Source organism: Homo sapiens, chromosome 4 (assembly GCF_000001405.40).
Source record: "Homo sapiens chromosome 4, GRCh38.p14 Primary Assembly".
Classification (NCBI taxonomy): domain Eukaryota; kingdom Metazoa; phylum Chordata; class Mammalia; order Primates; family Hominidae; genus Homo; species Homo sapiens.
In genome coordinates this window covers 188373748-188397286 of record NC_000004.12, presented here as the reverse complement: position 1 = coordinate 188397286, position 23539 = coordinate 188373748, and the positions used below count along the sequence as shown (strand labels likewise).

Here is a 23539-nt window from a genome sequence, read left to right as displayed (position 1 = left end):
ATATATAATATTATAAAAACATAGTTATTAAGAAATGTCCAAAAGCACATTGAAAAATGTGGGGCATTTATGATTTTTTTTCAAAGTAAGATTCACTTCCATAATTGTAAGAAAATCAGGCATGTCTATTTAGGTATTTGCTTATGATGTGAGCAAACCTTTATTGTGACAATCATGGGATAAGTAAAAAGAAGTAAGACACAAATCATCTTAAAGGTGTTCTATATATATATGTGTGTGTGTGTGTGTGTGTGTGTGTATATATATATATATATATTTTTTTTTAAGACAAAATCTCGCTCTGTCACCCAGGCTGGAGTGCAGTGGCGCGATCTCGGCTTACTGCAACCTCCTGGTGAGCTTTTCTCCTGCCTCAACCTCTCGAGTAGCTGGGACTACAGGCACCCGCTACCACGCCGGGTAATTTTTTGTATTTTTAGTAGAGACGGGGTTTCATCGTGTTAACCAGGATGGTCTTGAACTCCTGACCTCGTGATCCACCCACCTCAGCCTCCCAAAGTGCTGGGATTACAGGTGTGAGCCACTGCGCCCAGCCCTGTGCACAATACATTAACAGACAGATTGTAAATAATATTATAAAGTGATAAGATGACAAAACAAAACTACAGATAAAATTCTACAGGAGCAGCCAGTAGAGAGTGATTGATCCTAACTGAAGTTTAGGAGAGACTTTATTGTAAAAACATCACTTTAGGGAGCTTTTGACAAGTCAGTCGAGCTTCATACACAGAGAAACTGGGGAAAGGGGAGGGAATAGCATAGAGATGAAAAATAAGGCGTGTTTTAGTTACTACAAATATAGAATTTGAGTTAATGCATACTGTAAAATTTGCACACTACCTACCTAATGTACACAAGTAGCCGTAACTGAATAAAAGGGCTAAAGAAAGAAATAGTGGTAAAATAAAAGTATTAACTTATGTCAACAGTGGGTTTTTTTTTCCTATTTTATTTGTTTATTCCTGGATGGATTTAGTGGATTCCTCTCTATGTCCTTTTACTCTAACCACATCGATGCATACCTGACTGATTTGTAAATGCTAGCATGTACATTTTCTGCACGAGGGCTTTCTCTGACTCTGAAACCTCCTTGGCTACTTTTTCTAGGCCTGAAATGCTGGAAAGTGATCACTCATAGGTACAGCCACGACCAATGGCTGATGGAAATTGGTGTGTAAATATTACAATTACCTTGGCCCACGGGTGGGATTACTCAGGTACACATTTTACCCTGGCTTCTCGGTTTCCGCAGTAGGATTAAGCTCCAGTTGTCCACAGTGATAACGCCCTTGAAAATAAAGCCTTTTTTGTCATTATTTTCTTCCCTATCTCACTTCCTATTCTTTTCGGATCATCTACAAAATAAACCCCTCGCACTTGAATGGCTATTTTGGTCTGGGTCCCAAATTGAAATGTACATTGGGATAAAAGTACATGAAATAAAATTAAATTACACAAGCAAGAAATAAATTTTATTTATTGTAAGCCAGTGAAACTTTGAGGTTGTTTGCTGGGAAGAATAACAGGATCTGCAATGACTAAACAATAATCTATTAGAGAAAAGAAGTCAACTACAAAATTGGAATAAAAAGCATTGTGTTATAAATAACAAAGAAGGCACTTGAAAAACAGTTGCTTCTTTTACTGTCTGAATTCACCATGGAACACGGGTTGGGCCAAAATGTGGAGATTTGGAAAAGAAAGGAGAATAATACAGGTTGTTCAGCAGAAAAACAACACAACCAAATTTTGGATGAGTGTGTTGAGAGAAAATTAAAAGGAAGTGAATCTGTATAAAGATGAGGTCAATTTCTTAATTGAACCCACCACTAAAATCTGCTTATCCACTGAATCTTCTGTCTCATTAAACATAACCACTATTCTCTCAGTCACCGAAACACAATGTGCGCCATTTGCTTCTCCCATCCCTTCCGGCCTCTCAGAGCCACTCCCCACCCCTACTCAATGGATTTGCTTCTCCCATCCCTTCACTCAGGCCTCACTCCGGCCTCTCAGAGCCACTCCCCACCCCTACTCAATGGATTTGCTTCTCCCATCCCTTCACTCAGGCCTCACTCCGGCCTCTCAGAGCCACTCCCCACCCCTACTCAATGGATTTGCTTCTCCCATCCCTTCACTCAGGCCTCGCTCCGGCCTCTCAGAGCCACTCCCCACCCCTACTCAATGGATTTGCTTCTCCCATCCCTTCACTCAGGCCTCGCTCCGGCCTCTCAGAGCCACTCCCCACCCCTACTCAATGGATTTGCTTCTCCCATCCCTTCAGTCCGGCCTCACTCCGGCCTCTCAGAGCCACTCCCCACCCCTACTCAATGGATTTGCTTCTCCCATCCCTTCAGTCCGGCCTCACTCTGGCCTCTCAGAGCCACTCCCCACCCCTACTCAATGGATTTGCTTCTCCCATCCCTTCACTCAGGCCTCACTCCGGCCTCTCAGAGCCACTCCCCACCCCTACTCAATGGATTTGCTTCTCCCATCCCTTCAGTCCGGCCTCACTCCGGCCTCTCAGAGCCACTCCCCACCCCTACTCAATGGACTTGCTTCTCCCATCCCTTCACTCAGGCCTCACTCCGGCCTCTCAGAGCCACTCCCCACCCCTACTCAATGGATTTGCTTCTCCCATCCCTTCAGTCCGGCCTCACTCCGGCCTCTCAGAGCCACTCCCCACCCCTACTCAATGGATTTGCTTCTCCCATCCCTTCACTCAGGCCTCACTCTGGCCTCTCAGAGCCACTCCCCACCCCTACTCAATGGATTTGCTTCTCCCATCCCTTCAGTCCGGCCTCACTCCGGCCTCTCAGAGCCACTCCCCACCCCTACTCAATGGATTTGCTTCTCCCATCCCTTCACTCAGGCCTCACTCCGGCCTCTCAGAGCCACTCCCCACCCCTACTCAATGGATTTGCTTCTCCCATCCCTTCACTCAGGCCTCACTCCGGCCTCTCAGAGCCACTCCCCATCCCTACTCAATGGATTTGCTTCTCCCATCCCTTCACTCAGGCCTCACTCCGGCCTCTCAGAGCCACTCCCCACCCCTACTCAATGGGCGGATCGTACCAATTCTACTACCTAGGTATTTCTCAAATTTAGCCCTCCTTTTCACTCCATGCCTGCTCTCTCAGTCAGATCCTGACTTTCTCTTGCTTGATCCATCATAATATCTTGGTTCCTACACTTCCCTCCTTGAATCCTGCATCCCTCAACTCTTATCTTCCACTGTGAGGAGTGATTGAAAACATGAATCTGACCAAATCATCATTCCCCGTGTTAGCACCTGCAAGCAGACTAAATGTGGCCCTCAAGGAGAGTGAGAAAGACAATCAGTTGAGGTGTAGAAGAAAATATGAGAAACTTTATCTATTTTTTTTTTTTTTGAGACGGAGTCTTGCTCTTTCGCCCAAGCTGTAGTGCAGGGGCACAATCTCGGCTCACTGCGGCTCTGCCTCCTGGGTTCACGCCATTCTCCTGCCTCAGCCTCCCGAGTAGCTGGGACCACAGGCGCCCGCCACCACGCCCGGCTAATTTTTTTTTCCTTTTTTCTTTTTTTTTGTTTGTATTTTCAGTGGAGACGGGGTTTCACCGTGTTCGCCAGGATGGTCTCCATCTCCTGACCTCGTGATCCACCCGCCTCGGCCTCCAGAAGTGCTGGGATTACAGTCGTGAGCCACCTCGCCTGGCCAACTTTATCTATTTTTATTTCGTTTTATAAAATAAAATAAAATACTAACATTTAATATATGGGGAGACCATACAACGTGTAGAGAAATTTATAAATACATATAGATATATTAGAGGTGACTGCTTGAGAAAGTTTTACTAAATAAATGTATAATCAGAAAAGCCTAAGGCCAGCTACTCATGCCTGTAATCCCAGCACTTTGGGAGGCCGAGGTGGGTGGATCACGAGGTCAGGAGTTCAAGAACAGCCTGGCTAAGAGGGTGAAACCCCGTTTCCACTAAAAATACAAAAATTAGCTGGGCATGGTGGCAGGCGCCTGTAGTCCTAGCTACTCTGGAGGCAGAGGCAGAGAATTGCTTGAACCTGGGAGGCGGATGTTCCAGTGAGCCGAGATTGTACCACTGGACTCCAGCCTGGGCAACAGAGCGAGGCTCCATCTAAAAAAAAAAAAAAGTCTGGAGGCAACTGGCATAAAGGCTAAAATCTGAGTTCCTTAACGCAGCATGCATAGCAAACTCCAGCTTCAACTTCCTACTGCTCCACACAAGGAACTCCACAAACTAGTAACAGCAGTTGGTGTTTAGTTCCTTGATTCACATCATGCTATTTTATGTTTCTGTATATGTCCTTCCGTCAGAAACACTCTTTTCACATGTTTTTGAATGATCTTTTCAAGGATATTTGCACTGGGAACAGCCTCGGAAGGTAAGGTAGCTTTTCAAATTCAATCTCCTGCAAAACCGCATTCAGTGACCATCAACTTCAAGAACCATCTCTTGAACTTTCACGACAGGCTAAGTGCACCTCAGTGTGCTCTCAGAGCACCCCTTGAATGTTGCTGTCATTGGCTGGGTGCGGTGGCTCACACCTGTAATCCCAGCACTTTGGGAGGCCAAGGCAGGTGGATCATGAGGTCAGGAGTTTGAGACCAGCCTGGGCAATATGGTGAAACCCCATCTCTACTGAAAATACAAAAATTAGCTGGCACATGGTGGCGGGCGCCTGTAAACCCAGTTACTGGGGAAGCTGAGGAACCAGAATCGCTAGAACCTGGGAGGTGGAGGTTGCAGTGAGCCGAGATCACACCACTGCTCTCCAGCCTGGGTAACAAGCAAGACTCCATCTCAAAAAAAAAAAAAGTTGCTGTTGCTGTCGTCACTTATATCCCATGCTATGAAAAATACTGTTTATGCCAGGCACAGTGGCTCACGCCTGTAATCCCAGCATTTTGGGAGGCCAAGGCAGGCAGATAACCTGAGGTCAGGAGTTGGAGACCACCCTGGCCAACATGGCAAAACCCGTCTCTACTAAAAATACAAAAAAATTGGCCGGGCGTGGTGGTGCACGGCTGTAATCCCAGCTACTCAGGAGGCTAAGGCAGGAGAATCACTTGAACTCAGGAGTCGGAGGTTGCAGCGAGCCAAGACTGTGCCACTGCACTTTATCCTGGGTGACGGAGTGAGACCCAATCTAAGAAAGAAAAAGAAAGGAAGGAAGGAAGGAAGGAAAGAAGGAAGGAAAAATACTGTTTCTGTGTCATGCGTCTTTATGCATTGTTTCTTCTATTCATTGGAAGCATTTTGGGTCAAGAATCATGTTTTATTTATCTTGGGATTTCTAGGATCTATAAGAGTATCTGTTACAAGATTGGGACCCAGTAAATGTTTGCTGAACTCTTATATGCTACAGAAGAAATAGCTAGAAAGCTATTGCATGTGGGCGGCAAGCCACCCAGGTGCCGAGGCAAGAGACCAAGGCAACAAGCTGTTCCAGTATAATAAAATATATAAAATAAGAATAGTTATACTAGATATAGATCATAGATATGATTATATATGAATATCATTAATCATTAGTTTGTAGCAATTACTCTTTATTCCAATATTATAATAATCCTTGCTCTATGATCATAACCTAGGAAAAACTAGGCCATACAGAGACAGGACATAGTGAGAAGTGACCAGAAGACAAGAATGCGAGCCTTCTGTCACGCCCAGACAGGGCCACCAGAGGGCTCCTTGGTCTAGTGATAACGCCAGCGTCTGGGAAGACGCCCGTTGCCAAGTGGACTGTGGTCTAGCGGTAGCGTCAGTGCCAAGGAAAAACACCCACTACTTAGCAGACTGGGAAAGGGAGTCTCCCTTTCCCTGGTGGAGTTTAGAGAAGACTCTACTCCTCCACCTCTAGTGGAGGGCCTGACATCAGTCAGGCCTGCCCACAGTTATCTGGAGGCCTAACCATCTCCCTGTGATGCTGTGCTTTAGTGGTCACACTCCTAGTCCACTTTTATGTTCCATCCTGTACACCTGGCTCTGCCTTCTAGATAGCCGTAGCAAAATTAGTGAAAGTACTAAAAACCTCTGATATGAAGAAATAATGGCGTAGGCTGTGTCCTCTCTCTCTCTCTGTCTCTCCACCTCGGCTGCCAAACAGGGAAGGGCCCCCTGTCCAGTGGACACATGACTCATGTGACCTTGTCAATCATTAGAGATGACTCACACTCCTTACCCTGCCCCTTTTGCCTTGTATCCAATAAATAACAGCGCAGCCAGGCATTCAGGGCCACTACCGGTCTCCGCATCTTGGTGGTAGTGGTCCCCCAGGCCCAGCTGTCTTTTCTTTTATCTCTTTGTCTTGTGTCTTTATTTCTACAATGTCTCATCTCCGCACACGGGGAGAAAAACCCTCCGACCCTGTGGGGCTGGTCCCTACAATTGTAAAAGCCCAGATGTGTGTGTAAGGAGAAAAAAACAAATTCTTGGTGCCTTCATTTTTCAATTTCATGTAAACTGTGGAGAAACACTTAATTGTAAAGGGTCTGAGGTTTACTCTACTTGCAATCTAATGAGTTACATTATCATTGTTTCATGGATGTTGGCAAAAGACACAAGACTCCTAGGCTAAAAAAGGGAAAAGTTGTATACTGAGTGGATTTTCTTCATAGCTATGGAAGCTGGAGCTTAGGAAACTCCAGTCATTTATAATGGACCTTGTATTAGTCTGTTTTCATGCTGCTGATAAAGACACACCTGAGACTGGGCATATACAAAAGAAAGAGTTTTAATGGACTTACAGTTCCACATGGCTGGGGAGGCCTCACAATCATGGCTGGAAGTAAAAGGCACATCTCACATGGCGGCAGACAAGAAAAGAGAACTTGTGCAGGGAAACTCCCCTTTGTGAAACCGCTAGATCTCATGAGACCTATTCACTATCACGAGAATAGCATGGGAAAGGCCTACCCCCATGATTCAATTAACTCCCACCAGGTATCTCCCACAACACATGGGAATTGTGGGAGCTACAATTCAAGATGAGATTTGGGTGAGGTCACAGCCAAACCATATCAGACCTCAAGTAAGTTTGCTCAAACTTTGTCCTAAAAGTAGTCATTATTTTAATTTTCCTAAACACCAAGAAAACCTGCCCTCTACCACAGAGGGAAAAGCTACCTTAACTTCCAAAGCTGTTCACAATGGCAATATCCTTGAAAAGATCATTTGAAAGAAAAGCTGCCAGAGTCTCTGTTTACACCACATGTGAATATATGAAATACTCCTGGGGAATCATCTCCCAAATACAAGTAAAGTATCCTAAAATATACGAGAAGGTCCTAGAGCATTTGATTTGACCAAGCTTGTGAGAGTCTACTTAAAATGAACTGTTCTTATTCTTCTGTTTTAACTGGACTTTCACTCATTTATTAAGTTTAAAAATGATCCTCCCACTGATCCAAAATTAATTTGAAGCTTTGAAAAAGGAATTACTTTTATGCTAGAAAACAACTATTTTTACTTCCCTCAAACCCAAGTTATTCAATAACTATATTATCTGTGTATATATTTACATCCTTAAGAACAGGGATCTTTGACTCTCCCACCAGGCATAGAAAAGAGGTTTATCCTTGAAGAGTTTATATCTGAAATGGACATGCCCTGTGAAGTAGTGAGTGCCAAAACACTGAGACTCTTGAAAACTTGTATCTGGATTTTGATGGTGATGTTACAAAACTTGAAACTTTTGGAGTAACCACCACCAAAGCATCAAAGCCAAGAAGTCCAGCAAGTACTTCCACAGTAACTAACGTGACAGATGCTCCTACAGCCCCCAAAGCAGGAACTACACCTGTGGCACCAAGTGCACCAGACATTTCTGCTAATTCTAGAAGTTTATCTCAGATTCTCATTGAACAGTCGCAAAAGGAGAAACAACTGGTCACTGGTATGGATGGTGGCCCTAAAGAGTGCAAAAATAAAGATGACCAGGGATTTGAATCATGTGGCAAAAAGGTATCAAATACTGACAAGTCTTCGAGGCAAGATAGTGACTTGAAAACATCTGATGCCTTACAGTTAGAAAATTCTCAGGAAATTGAAACTGCTAATAAATATGATATGACTATAGATATGGTACATGTTGATGCTGAAAGACCCAATGTTCTGGAAAACCTAGACAACTCAAAGGAAAAGACTGTGACATCAGAAGCAGCTAAAACTGAAGATACAGTTCTCTGCAGCAGTGATACAGATAAGGAGTGTTTAATTATTGATACAGAGTGTAAAAATAATAGTGACGGAAAGACAGCTGTCATGGGTTCCAACTTAAATTCTTGACCAGCTAGCCCAAATTCTTCCTCAGGACAGGCTTCTGCAGAAAACCAGACTAATACTGCTTGTAGTCCAGAAGAGTCATGTGTTTTTATTTTTTTACTTTTTATTTATTTAATTTTTTTTGAGGCGGAGTTTCTTTCTTGTTGCCCCAGGCTGGAGTGCAGTGGCACGATCTCAGCTCACTGCAACCTCTGCCTCCCAGGTTCAAGCAATTCTCCTGCCTCAGCCTCTCAAGTAGCTGGGATTACAGGCATGCGCCACCACACCCAGCCATTTTTTTTTTTTTTTTTGTATTTTTAGTAGAGATGGGCTTTCTCCACATTGGTCAGGCTGGTCTCGAACTCCTGACGTCAGGTGATCCACCTTCCTCAGCCTCCCGAAGTGTTGGGATTACAAGCGTGAGCCACCACGCCTGGCAAGTCATGTATTTTTTTTTAAAAAAACCTATCAAATGAGTATATAAAAAATTTGATCCTGTTGGAGAAATTTTTAAAATGCAGGATGAGCTCTTAAAGCCAATTTCCAGAAAAGTACCCAAATTGCCCTTAATGAATTTAGAAAATTCTAAACAGCCCTCTGTTTCTGAGCAACGGTCTGTCCCTTCAGATGCCTCTAGTTGGCCGAAATTGGATGGCCTTCTGCATTTCAGAAGCCAAAAGGACGATTGCCATATGAACTTCAGGACTATGTTGAAGATACGTCGGAATACCTAGCTCCTCAGGAAGGAAACTTTATTCATAAGTTATTTAGCCTGCAAGACCTGTTGTTACTCATGTGCTGCAGTGTCCGGAGGATGGAGACAAGACCACGTTCTAAGAAACAGAAGAAAATCGGAAAACAATTTCCAGTTTATGTACTACCAGAAGTAGAGAATCAAGCTGGTTATGGAGTTGAAGCTCTGACTGAAAGTGAACGTTGTCGCTTGTGGACTGGAAGTTGATTGCATTCCAACAGATATTTTACATTGGCCATATCGATGCATTTACTTCAAAGCTTTTTCTACTGGAAGAAATTACCTCAGAAGCATTAAAAGAAAAGCTTTCAGCACTCAAGATTTCCAATGTATTTAACATTCTCCAACACATTCTAAAGAAATTAAGTAGCTGGCAGGAGGGTTCCTACTTGTTATCTCAGGCAGCAGAAGATTCTTCACTCCCAATCCATAAGACCTCTGATGGAAAAGTTACTAGGACAGCATACAATTTGTATAAAACACATTGCAGCCTTCCTGATGTACCTTCCAGTCTCTCAGTTCTCTGGGTCCGATTAGATCCTAGCCTGTTATGACCATATCATATCCATCATGGAAGAATAACTTGTACTTTTCCACCTAAATCACTGGATACCACAACACAACAAAAGGTTGGTGGAACGAGAATACCTACAGGCAGCCACAGGAATCCAGTTTCCATAGAAACCAAAAGCAGTTGCTTGCCTGCTCAGCAAGTTGAAACTGAAGGAGTGGCTCCGAATAAAAGAATAACTTGAGGACTGCACCGTGGAAAATTAAATTTCAAAAAAAAAAACAAACCCAGTTATAACAATGTTTAATTTAGAAAAGTTTGAGGGAAAATATGACTAAAAGCTCAGTAGGCAAGAGGAACATTTTTCCTGTAGTATCCTCACGAGTTCTTAGAGTGTCTTGAAAAAATATGTTGGCTATGTGAAAGAATGCTTCAACTAAAATGGAATGTTATGCTGTTCACTCCTAAACTTTGAGGAGCATCTTGATATGTTTTAACATTATCATGGCAGGGAAATATATAAAGAAGAAAAATATTTTTACATTAAACCTTTTCTAAAAATTGTAAATAGAAAAATAATTTGATTTTTTATCAAGAATGACACTTATCAATATATATTATGTTATATTGCCAATCTGTTGAGATTGACTCAAAAGGTTAAATATTGCCACTGTTGAAGATAATTATGAGTATCGCAAACCTTGTTTCTGACCCATTTTGATAGTTTCTATATACGCCTTTAAAATGATGAATGTTGCGGGTTAATAAAGTTAATACCTTTAAAACTTGGTGAAATACCATTACAGAAGCCAAAAATAAAAACTCCCTGCCTCTGAAAAAAAGGGAGGTTTTTCTTCCTTTCCTTTATTTATTTTTGGTTTACATATTTAATTATAACCTATAACACTATATTATTTATTCAAAATTGCTTCTAGATATATCATTGATCAATATTGTCCTATCCAGATGTCATCAAGAAGGCTGATAAGAGATGCCCAGTGCTCTCCTACTCCACAAAGGACCAAAACAATTAGAAAACAACACATCAAATAGAGTGTATAGGAGAAAACACTGGAATTCAGCAAGAAAGTGATAAAGACCTTCTGATGCACAGAGACTGGAGATGGCAGCATAAAGAGGAAAGTGAAGAGCCTGGCTGGGATCGGCTCATCCCAAGAGACACTCCTCACCACACAGAAAGAGGTAAGTTGATCCCCAGGAATAAATTTATAGAAATAAATGCCTGCTTTAAAAAAGTAGAAAGATTTCAAATAAACAATCTAACAATGCACATCAATGAACTAGTAAAGGAAGAACAAACTAAACCCAAAATTTTAAACTAGAAAATAAATAAATAAAGATCAGAGCAGAACTAAACATAGTAGAGACTAAAAAAAAATTACAAAAGATCGATGAAATGAAAACTTGCCTTTTTGAAAAGACAAACAAAAATTGATAAACTGTTAGCTAAACTAAGAGAAGAGAGAGAAGACCCAAATAAATAAAATCAGAAACAAAAAAGAAGACTAACAACTGAGACCACAGAAATACAAACAATCATTAGAGACTATTATGAACAACTATCCACCAGCAAATAGGAAAAACTAGAAGAAATGAATAAATCCCTGCACACATACAACCTACCAACATGAAACCATGAAGAAAAAGAAAACCTCAACAAACCAATAATGGGCAATATGATTGAAGCCATCATAAAAAGTCTCCCATCAAAGAAAAGCCCAGGACCTGGTGGCTCCACTGCTGAATTCTCCCAAAGATTTAAAGAACTAATACCAATTTGACACAAGCTCTTCAAAAAAATGGAAGAGAAGGGATCATTTCCAAACTTCTTCTAGCAGACCAGCATTACTCTGCTACCCAAACCAGACCAGGACACAAAAGCAATAGCGACAAAACTACAGATCAGTATCCCTGATGCACCTAAATGCAAAAATCCTGAACAAAATACCAGCAAACTGAATCTAACAGCACATCAAAAAAATTATACACCCATGTTCAAATGGGATTAGTCCTAAAAACGCAAGGATGTTTTGGTATACCCAAATCAATAAATGTGATACATCACATCAACGGAATTAAGGGCAAAAGCCATAGGATCATCTCAATAGATACAGAAAAAGCACCTGATAAAACTCAACATCCCTTCATGACAAAAAATTCTCAATAAATTAGGCATGGAAGGAGTGTACCTCAAAATAATAAAGGCCGTATGTAACAAACCCACAGCTGACAGCATACTGAATGGGGAAAAACTTTTCCTCTAGGAGCTGGAACCAGACAAGAACGCCCATTTTCACTACTCTTATTCAACACTGTACTGGAATTCCTAGCCAGGGCAGTTAAGCAAGAGAAAGCAATACAATACAGCAAAATTGGAAAAGAGAAAATCAAATTGTCCCTCTTTGCAGATGACATAATCTTATATAGAGAAAAACCTAAAGACTTCACCACAGAATTCTTGGAACTGATCAGTGAATTTGGTAAAGTTGCAGAATATAAAATCAACATATAAGAATTAATAGCAAGTCTATATACCAATAACAAACTAGCTGAAGAAATCAAAAAAGCAATCCCATTTTTAATAGCTACAAAAAAATAAAGTACCTAGAAATAAATTTAACCAAGGAGATAAAAGACCTCTACAATGAAAACTACAAAACACCGATGAGAAAAATTGAAAAGGACACACCCACCAAAAAAGAAAAATTCCATGTTCAGATTGGAACAGTCAATATTGTTAAAATGACCATCTTAATCAAAGCAAGCTACAGATTTAGTGCAATTCCTGTTGCTACCAAAGCACAGGGGTTCAGTCTAGGTCCTGCTGCTTGCCACACAGAAAGCCAGTCACTGAAACAATGAGTATTGCCAAGGAAGAAGGATTTAACGGAGTGCTGCAGCAAAGGAGATGGGAGATTAGTATCAAATCCATTTCCCTGACTGGCTATAACTAGTGGTTTATATAGCAGGGAAGAAATGTGACAATGTCTAAGAAAAGGGAGGAACTAGGGAGGAGCAAGAAAGTAATCATGATGAATGAGGGGTTTGGCATCTCATTGTCTGGATGTGGTGATCAGGTGAGTTTCAGTTCTTTGATACTTTTTTTGAGACGGAGTCTCACTCTGTCACCCAGGCTGGAGTGCAGTGGTGCGATCTCTGCTCACTGCAGGCTCCCCCCCCCCGGGTTTTCGCCATTCTCCTGCCTCAGCCTCCTGAGTAGCTGGGACTATGGGCACCCGCCACCTCGCCCAGCTAATTTTTTGTATTTTTAGTAGAGACGGGGTTTCACCATGTTAGCCAGGATGGTCTCGATCTCCTGACCTCGTGATCCGCCCGCCTCGGCCTCCCAAAGTGCTGGGATTACAGGCGTGAGCCACTGCGCCCGGCCTCTTTGATACTTTTTTTGAGAGCCCTGAATGTCATCCTGAGGAAGGAACACAGATAAAACAAATGCAAGCTTCAAGCTTTAAGAACAGAAGGATCAAATTCTATGTTTATCCAAAAAAAAGCTATCTATGGGACTACTGGACTGGTTTCACTATCAAAATACCAATGATATTCCTCACAGAAATAGAAAAAATATTCCAAATCTTGTATGGAACCACAAAATACCCTGAATAGCTAATGCAATTCTAAGCACAAAGAACAAAGCTGGAAGTATTATACTACCTGTCCTCAAAATATACTACAAAGCTCTAGTAATCAAAACAGCATGACACTGGTATAAAAGCAGACACATAAACCAATGGAACAGACTAGAAAACCCATAAATAAATTCTCTTATTTACAGTCACCTGACTTTTTGACAAAGTCACCAAAAACGTTGAAAAGTGGATATGCATATGCAGAAGAATAAATCTAGACCTCTCTCTCTCTCTCTCACACCATACATGAAAATAAATTCAAAATGGATTAAAGACTTAAGTTTAAGACCCAAAACTATACAATTCCTAGAAGACAACATGGGGGAAACACTTTAGGACTTGAGACTGGGTGAAGCTTTTATAGGTAAGACTTTACAAGTACAAGCAACAAACGTAAAAATAGACAAATGAGACTATATCAAACTAAAAACCTTATGCACAGCAAAGGAAGTAATCAACAGAATAGAAAGACCACTTTAGGATGGGAGAAAATATTTGCGAACTATTCATCCAACAAGAGATTAATGCTCAGAATATACAAGGAATTCAAACAACAGCAAAAAAATAAAAAAGCAAAAAAAAATCTGATTTTACAGTGGCCAAAGAATCTGAAAGACATTTCTCAAAAAAGGACATACAAATGGGCAAAAAGAACATTTTAAAAAATGACGTCACTAATCATTATGGAAATGCAAATCAAAACCACAATGAGATATTCTCTTGTCCCAGTTAAAATGGCTACTATCAACAAGACAAAAATAACAGATGCTGGTGAGGATGCAGAGAAAAGGGAGCTCCTACATACTGTTGGTGGGATTGTAAATTAGTATGGCCATTATGAAAAACCGTATGGAGTTTCCTCGAAAAACTAAGAATAGAACTACCATATGATCTAGCAATCCCTCTACTCGCTATTCATCCAAAAGAAAGAAAATCAGTATCTCAAAGAGATATCTGCACTCCCATGTCTACTGAAGCACTATCCACAATAGCCAAGATATGGAGTCAGCCTAAGAGTCTATCATCAGATGAGTGGATAAAGTGTGGTAACTACACACAATGATATACTATTCTGTCATAAAAAAGAATGAAGTCTTGTCACTCACAGCAACAAGGATGAGCCTGGAGGACATTATGTTAAATGAAATAAGTCAGACACAAAAAGATAAATACCGCATGTTCTCACCCATGTATGGGAGCTAAAACATTGAGCTCTAGAAGCAGAGAGTAGAGTTATGGTTACTGTCAGTTGGAGACTATAGGAGGAGAGAAGGATAAGGAGAGATACAAAATTACAACTGGATAGGAGTCAGCTCTAGTTTCTATAGCCCTGTAAGGGTGATGATAGTTAACAATAATTTATTGTGTATTTTCAAATAGCTAGAAAAGAGGATTTTGAATATTCCCAACACAAAGAAATGATAAATTCTTTGTGTTATACATGATAGATATGCTAATTACCACAATATGGTAATTATACATTACATCCATGTATGGAAATATCTCTTTGTATTCCGAAATATGTACAATTATTACATGTCATTTAAAAGCAATTTTAAAAAATAAAATTAAATTTGGGAGCAGGGGTGGAAGTACAGGTTGCAAGTGACAGGAGCCAAAGTCCAACTGAAGGAAATTCAGTGGCGAGAAGATCCACGAGGTTTCACTGCCAAGGTACCTGGAGTTGATCTAGTCCCTCCCTATTCTCTACTTTACCACATCTCCATGAGATAACCTAGTGTTCTCCCAATAGGTTCGCTTAGATTCGCTTTTTGTTTAAATCTAGTCAGAGTTGGTTCATTTGCTTTAAACCGAAAGAGCAACTAAAATACACAGCAAGTTGGAATGAAGCAAACTGAAAATGAATAGTAGCTATTGATAAAATGCCTTCCTGGGTTTTGCAAACAGCTGTCAATAATACCTAATCTAATATCTTGAAATAAAGTGTGGCATTTAATTAACAAAAAGTATCCTCTCTGCTGTCCAGGGTTATGGTTCTCTCACCTTAGTGTGTATGAGAACCACGTGAAGTCATGAGTACAGCACGAGTTCCCAAGTCTCCAAAGGCTCTGATTCCCCAATCTTAATTGGGGTCTGTGTCTTTAACGAGATCCCAGCTGGGCACAGTGGCTCATGCCTGTAATCCCAGCACTTTGGGGAGGCCCAGCAGGTGAATCACTAGGTCAGGAGATTGACACCATCCTGGCCAACATGGTGAAACCCCGTCTCTATTAAAAATACAGAAATTAGCTGGGCGTGGTGGCATGTGTGCCTGTAATCCCAGCTACTTGGCAGGCTGAGGCAGGAGAATCGCTTGAACCAGAGAGTAGAAGGTTGCAGTGAGCCGAGATTGTGCCACTGCACTCCAGCCTGGGCAACAGAGCATGACTCCATCTCAAAAAAAAAGAAAAAAAAAAGATACCTATATGATTCTGAGATAGCATTGTACTTTTAAGACTACAGACACAATTATTACAAATTAAAAAATAATAATGTGCCGTGTTTTAGGTGAAATAACTCGTAACAGATTTTTTCTTAATGGAAAAGTCACAAATGATAACACAGAAGCTAGGAGCCTTGGGAAGAAAGCAGAGGAAGAGTTAAAGTACAGTACTGTTGGTTCAAATATTCAAAAAGAAATATCCAGAAGACAGCTTGGAAATTCTAGATTGGATCACAGCGTGGAGGTTCTGCTGGCTACTTTGATTTGAGAGTCATGTGTGTGAGTGACACCCTGAGAACAAGGATCTTCTAGCAACCTTAGTGATGGATGAGAGAGGAAAGGTGGACCTCAGCAACACCATATAGAGGCAGGAGCATGGGAGAAAGGAGCCTAGGATTGATAACGGCGGGTAACAAGAGAGGCAGAAATAAAACATAGCAGTATGCTTTCACGGAAGCCAAAAGAGGATGTGCAATCAAGAATGGATGATAGGGCCGTGAGCGGTGGCTCATGCCTGTAATCCCAGCACTTTGGGAAGACGCGGCGGGTGGATCACGAGGTCAGGAGTTCAGGACCAGCTTGGCCAAGATGGTGAAAACCCGTCTCCACTAAAAATACAAAAAAATTAGCTGGGTGTGGTGACGGGCGCCTGTAATCCCAGCTGAGGCAGAGAATTGCTTGAACCCAGGAGGTGGAGGTTGCAGTGAGCCTAGATTGCACCACTGAACTCCAGCCTGGGCGAGAGACTGAGACTCAGTTTCAAAAAAAAAAAAAAAAATAGGTGATACCTGTAGCCTGTTATTAAATGAATAACTAAATAGGTGGAAAGGAACATCTCTGTCCTACAGTGTTTCTAGTCCCAGACCATGCTCTTCCTATTCAAACTTTAAATTTATCACCTCTAACATCTTGTTATAAAGCTTTTTTTTTTTTAAATCAAGTTTAGTTTTCTTCTGGGTTGAAAGGCACTCAAAAACTAATAACAAAAATATAACATTTCATTTATTTTGATGCAATTAGGATTTCTTTCTAATACACAGTTTAGGGCCTTGGAAATGTTCATCCATCTTAGATAATGGAATTCTAAACCAAACTTCCATGGGTGTGATTTAATCATGTAATTTTCCCCTTAAAATACCCAGTTGAATCAAGTGATATTTAATTTCCTCGCTTTGTATGAAAACATTTTCCTCCCATGCTACCTTTCTCTTTATTCCATGAACACATTATTCTAAAGCACTGTGAAGCCTGCAAATGAAAGCCTCGCACAGACATGAGGAGCAGGGACCATCCCCACCCGTGTCCTGGTGCACCTGTCCCTTTCTATGGAGCAGGGACCATCCCCACCCATGTCCTGGTGCACCTGTCCCTTTCTATGTGTGCCTCATTCATCACTAGGCTTAGTCTTCCCATCTCTTTCGAGACAGCTACTATTTTCTACATGTTTCACTCTGTACTATAAAAGTTAAAAAAGTAAACGTGATATTATGGAAAGTGTTTCCTTGGCCAAAGCAAAGATATTGAGCACAAAAAGCCCTCTGCATTCTTGGTTCACTCTGTTGTGGGACTGATGGTTACCAGCATGTTGAGGGAAACGGCGACACTTGGTACCACAGTGAGATGCAAATGATTCCCTTCGAGAAAGAAAGACAGACTTACTGTGTAATTTTCTTTGTTTTGATGGCCATTGGCGCCATTAAATTGATAGTTATTCCTAACAGACGACTGCTGTTTGAAAATAGAATAGCCAACAGCCTTGTTCATAACCAGTGGTCAAAGTACCTTAGGGGGCTAGGAAAAGCAGGACATTAGAAACCGGGAAACGGCCATTTGCAGTGACTTTGCCCTACTACACAGTAATGAAAGAGCAGATATTAACAAGCCTTGCCCAAAAAGGACCACACTGTAGGGACCATTACCTCTTCAGATGCATGCAGCGGGGTCAGTCCTAGTCCTCCGAGGAAGCATGTGAGCATTATTTCTCTCTTGACCGGAATCCTGGAATGCACAGCTCCAGAGAAATGCCACCCAGAATCACAGTGTGCATTCACAATGCTAGGTAAACAAGAGGGCTGGGAGTTGAGACTCTGCACAGGGCTCAGACAACTGCATGCTGCACAAGTACAAAGCACAGAGCAGGGCAAAATGAGAAGGAAAAGTCCATTGTGAAAACCTAGAAGATCCACAATCTTAGTGAACTCAGAGAGAGGGCAGAGCAGGACTAGAGATGGAAGACTGAGACCTTGAAGAGGATTCTCAGGCGCCGAGAAAACCCAGAAGTGAATTTCTCCCTGAAGACTCTGCTGAGCACAGGGGCCTTCTGTGCAGGCCAAGGTGCTCACCAAAGGGCTACGGGCTACATTCAGCAGAGTGTAAGGCCCTGTCAGTGGCACCCTGACAGGAGACCAGAAACAAAAGTATCAGACCCTTGCGTGTCAAACAATAAAACTCAAAGCTCCGTACATGCCTCTCTGACTTCAGTCTTTCTCCTTCCATCAGATACAAGCCTCTCTGACTTCAGTCTTTCTCCTTCCATCAGATTTAGAGAGGTCAAGCTGTGATATGAGAAAATACAGGGCAGTAGAAGAAGACAGATATAGTGGACACCCTCCCACTAACGATGCCACCATCCTTCACAGTGGGAGACGTTGTTTCTTTCCTCTTGTATTTGGGGACGAAATCCAAGAGGATGTGCATGCTCACTTGCCGGCTTGGCAACCATTGAACAAGACGTCAAGACGGGCCATCTTAAAGGTGTGGGACTGGCTAAGAATATTGGCTAATGACAATTTATATTAAACTCTCATTCCCTGAATATTTTTCAAAAGAAAAGAAATAGGGTGAAAGACCTTGGAAATGAGTCCCTTGGTGAATGAGTGCCCCGTGGGAGGAAATATGAAGATCTAGTGCATTATTTTGTGGTAATTAAGTTATGCAGTAGAGGGGCTGGGCATAGTGGCTCACGCCTGTAATCCCAGCACTTTGGGAGGCCAAAGGATCACCTGAGGTCAGGAGTTCAAGACCAGCCTGGCCAACATGGTGAAACCCCTTCTCTACTAGAAATACAAAACTTAGCCAGGTGTGGTGGCAGGCACCTGGGATCCCAGCTTCTAGGGAGGCTGAGGCAGTAGAATTGCTTGAACCTGGGAGGCAGAGGTTGCAGTGAGCCAAGATCGCACCACTGCACTCCAGCCTGGGACACAAAGCGAGACTCCGTCTCAAAAACAAAAGAAAAAAAAAGTTAATCACTGTAGAAAATCAACGTGCAGGAACCATCTTGGGTTTTGCTCTAACGTAATGGTTAATTATCACTCTCTTTCTCCTTCTGCATCCTTCGGAAGTCCAATAACCATAGCTAGAGCCTCTGTGACACTGTACATCGTGTGTGTGTGTGTGTGTGTGCACGCGCGCACATCTTTCAGTTAGTGTCTTATGAACAGCTACTTAAATAAAATTTTCTTTCCATATTGTAGATCCTAGATTTGAAGGGGCGCCACCAGGAAGACGTTTGTGGGTAGGACACGTCTGTGGTGTATTCAGAGTGCTTGGAAAGGCAGCGTGTTGACCCACAACAGAGCAGGCGGTTGGGGTTGTTCTGCATGGAGACACAGGGCTGGAAAACGCTAACAGAAGCAGCTATGTCAGGTGGGAGGCAGGGTGTTCTGTTTCAGAATTTTAGATAGGGTTTTCCATGAAATTAGCATGGTTCATTCATTTGTGTCACAAAGTGACATACTCCCCTGCCATCTCCCTTCCACGCTACAGAATTTTAAAGTAATAATGCATATGAACTTTGTGAAGATGCCTAAATTTCAAATCCAACTTTCCATTGTGATTTTCCAATAACTTCTTTACATTAGAAATGTCGTCCATTTTTATTCATTTATTTATTTAGAAAATATTTATCAAATGCCAACTATGTTCCAAGTACTGTTGTAGAAGCTGAGAACACAGCAATGAACAAAACAGATAAAATGGGGAAATGGGTTTCAGCTCATTGGTAACTACATAAAAATCTATAGCACTGACTTCTTTCATACGCCCCTCCTATTTCTGATCGAACCCTAATCTCAGTTCCCCCTTGAGGACCATGCTTATGTTTCATAACTCCCTGTGGTAGGCTGGACTCTACCACCCACCCCAGGATAGCCAGTTCCTAATCTCTAGAACCTTAGAACCTGGGAAAATTGCCTTATATGATGTAATGAGTAGTCTGGCCTCCCTCCCTTTTTTTTTTTTTTTTTTTTTTTTTTTTTTTTTTTTTTGAGGAAGGGTCTCACTCTGTCACCCAGGCTGGAGTGCAGTGGTGTGAGCTCGGCTCACTGCAACCTCTGCCTCCTGAGCTCAAGTGATTCTTCTGCCTCAGCCTCCCAAGTAACTGGGATTACAGACTACAGGCATGTGCCGCCACCCCTGGCTAACTTTTATATTTTGGTAGAGACAGGGTTTCACCATGTTGGCCAGGCTGGTCTCAGACTCCTGGCCTCAAGTGCTGGGCCTCCCAAAGTTCTGGGCCTCAGCTTCCCAGCTAGGATTATAGGCATGAGCCACCAGGCCCAGACTGGCCCCATTTCTTGATGTTTGACTCCTGACAGCTTCTAGGCCTCACCCCTTGGTATTCCTTTATGCCCGCATCTGGATAAGCCAACAGGAAAGATGGGGAGCCCCCTCCCTTGGCACTGGTGGGGGAGTCAAACCATACGAGCCCTTCCCACACATGGGAACTTTGACCCCACCCCAGCCCCACCCCTAACCACTATAACATCTTGGGCCAGTCTTCTTCCCTTGCTTTCTTAGGTCACATTGGATCTGCTTGTGAGGCCCACCTGCTCTCCCCAGAAGCCTGAAGTATGTGAGTAATGAACCTTTCATACCCCCTTAGCTTGTGTGTGGCATCATCAGCCTCAACATTCAAATCAAACCTCAGGGGCCCATATGTCTTTGCAGGTGACCATAACATATGGCAAGAAAAGAAAGCCTTTGCAGATATGATTATGTTCTCAAGATGGGGAGATCGTCCTGGATTGTTCAGATGGACCCTGAATGCAATCACACATCACACATATTCTGTTACGAGATGAGGAGGGAGATTTTAGGGCACACAGAGGAGAAAGAGATATGAAGACAGAGCAGAGGGAGATCAAAAAATGTTGACCCTAAATATTGGAGTGATGTGGCCACAAGCCAATGAATGCTGGCAGTCACCAGAAGCTGAGAGACAAGGAACCGGTTTCCTTATGGAGCCACCAAGGGAGGGTGACAGTGCTGACACCCTGATTTTGGCCCATTGATACTGACTGCAGACTTCTGGCTTCCATAATTGTGAGAGAATAAATGTTTGTTGATTGAAGGCATTAAGTGCATGGTGTTTTGCTACAGAAGTCCTAGGAAAGTACTACACTGTCAACTGAGGGCTGTTTTTCCCTTTCACACCCTGCACACTACTGGGCTGCCTCAAGCCCATTTGCCCTGGTTCCTGCTAAAAGCTCCAGTTCCATCAAGGCTCATGTCAGGGGACTGGGCCTTCTGTCACTCTCCCTAGTCATTTACCATCCCCTTCATCACGGGTGATTCTTGTGTCTGGCTTGCTGTTTTTCTCACCATCGCTATTCCTGGTGATTTTTCTACCCGTGTAAATGATCTGTCTTCGTCCATTTTGGCTGCTGTAGCAAAATACTGTAGATTGGGTGGTTTATGAACAACAGTAATGTCTTCCTCACAGTTCTGGAGGCTGGAGAGTTTGAGATCCAGGTGCCGGCAGGTGTGGTGTCTGGTGACAGCCCGCTACCTAGTTCACTGCACACTGCATCCTCACGGTGGAGAGGAAAGAAGGCCCTAGGCTTTCTTGTATAAGGCATGAACTTCACTCACAAGGGTTCTGCCCTCATGATCCCGTCGCATCCCAAAAGGCCCCGCCTCCTAATGCCATCACCTTGGAGATGAGGGTTTCAACATAGGAATCTAGAGGGACACAAGCATCCAGACCACAGCAGGTTTTACCAATACCCAGGACTCTTGGTTCTTTGTCCTCTATTCTGCTCATCTAGCCTCTTCCAGTTTGTCTCTTGTGATAACACGCTGGACTTTTTTTCATATCCAGACTCACTCTGTCTCCTCCATAATCTTTTCTTGCTGTCTCCTTCAGCGTTTTGGCCCCCATTCTAAATATTTTGAACCCACAAAGCCCGCACTCTATTAATTGCACCCCTCCAGCTCTCAGTTCCTTCATTTCCCAGCGTCAATCTTACATCAGTCATTGTCACCACCCCCTTCTATTTACTCTCGATTACCTTGCCCTTTTTCCTGTGCCACATCTGCCTAGTAAAACCACCACAATGATTACATATGGCCTGTGCCTGTTTGTGCTCACACCCAAGGACTTGGAAATGAATACAGAAAAACATTAAACCTGCTGGTTGGCCTCACGTTAAATATACAGGAATGAACTCAAGCAGGCACTCAGGACTGCCCAACAGTGTCACAAGAGTCATTAAGTTCATTTACTCTCCCTCCACCAAAGTGACTTTCACACCACCCCTTCTCAACTCTCCACCATGCCCGCCCCGCACCTCTTTGCCTAACTGTGACTTGATCCTTATTTCACTGAGAAGTTTGAAAGCAATCAGAAGAGAATGTCTACAAATTTCCACTAGCGAGGAAACCACTTCAGCTGCACTGGACCTGTGCGCTTTGCCTCTCCTCCTGGTAAAACAGGTGACCTACTTATGCTGTCTCTAAAGCAAAACTGATTTCACATGGAGTAGATCCCATCCCCTCTTATTGATTCCTCTAAGAATTTTCCCATGTGCTTCTCCCCTTTTCCTCCTGGATCATACGTTTTTGCCTTCTCTAAGAGAGCCTTCCCACAAACATTTAAGCTTGCTGTGTTGTCACTCTCTTAAAACATAAGCCTCTCTCTTGAGAGGACAGCAATTCTCCATCTTGTTTCTTGTTACAGCCGATTTCCTCTGAGTAGTTTCTATGCTCACTGCCTTTACTTGCTCTCTTATTCTGTCTTACATTCCCTCCAATAATGCTTTCATCAGTGTTCCACTGAAACCACTTTTGTCAGCATTACCACCGACCTCCACACTGCTAAATCCAGTGATCCATTTGAGGTATCATCCTTTCCACCTCTTGTCAGGATTTGAAGCAAGTGACAACTGCCTCCTTCTTAAAGTCCTTTCTTTACTTCATAATCCAATCCTAAGTAGATGTTTCTCAAATCGATCCCCTCCTTTTCATCTGCATTACTTATTTTCTGAGTCAGACACTCTCTTTTTATATAAACTACTTATTCTTCTACCTGGCTACTTCTACTCTCTCGCTAGATCCATTTTCTTATCCCAATTTCTAGATGCTGCGGAGCACTGGGGTGTCGTGAATGTACCCCGTTCTCTTCCTCAGCTGTACTCCGCTCCTCGATGGTCTTCACGCTCTACAAGCCATCTATCCATCAATGGCAGCTGAAGGAATACCACAGGCCACCATCCGCCCAGTAAAATATATCCAGCTGCCATTGTCACATATCGAAGTGGATGGTGAATAGTTAAATCAGACTTAACATGCCTGAAACAGTTTCTTATCTGCCTTTATCTGACCTTGACACCCATTCCTTCCAAATATTTTCCAATTTCCATTAGGAATTGTCATAACCATTCACCCAAAATCTCAACTCAAAGAATTCTGACATTTCACATTTTATTTTTTAGTAAATATCATTGGTTCTCCCCTTTAAATATATTAGAACCCCGGCAAAACCTCACCACCTCCACTACCTCCACCCTAGTCCAAAGCGCTCACGTTCTGGTGCCCATGGAGGTGCCTGATTGGCTCTCCCTTCACAAGAACCTGCTGCA

At 42.6% G+C, this 23539-nt stretch overlaps 1 long non-coding RNA gene and 1 pseudogene across 1 annotated transcript; both read left to right on the top strand.

The window, feature by feature from the left end:
• Positions 7624–10001, top strand: ICE2P1 (interactor of little elongation complex ELL subunit 2 pseudogene 1; annotated as a pseudogene).
• Positions 19169–21004, top strand: LOC105377608 (uncharacterized). The gene is made up of 3 exons (XR_939620.3): positions 19169–19325; positions 20478–20532; positions 20628–21004. It is a non-coding gene; the product is annotated as an uncharacterized LOC105377608 (long non-coding RNA).
• The last annotated feature ends 2535 nt before the right edge of the window (positions 21005–23539 follow it).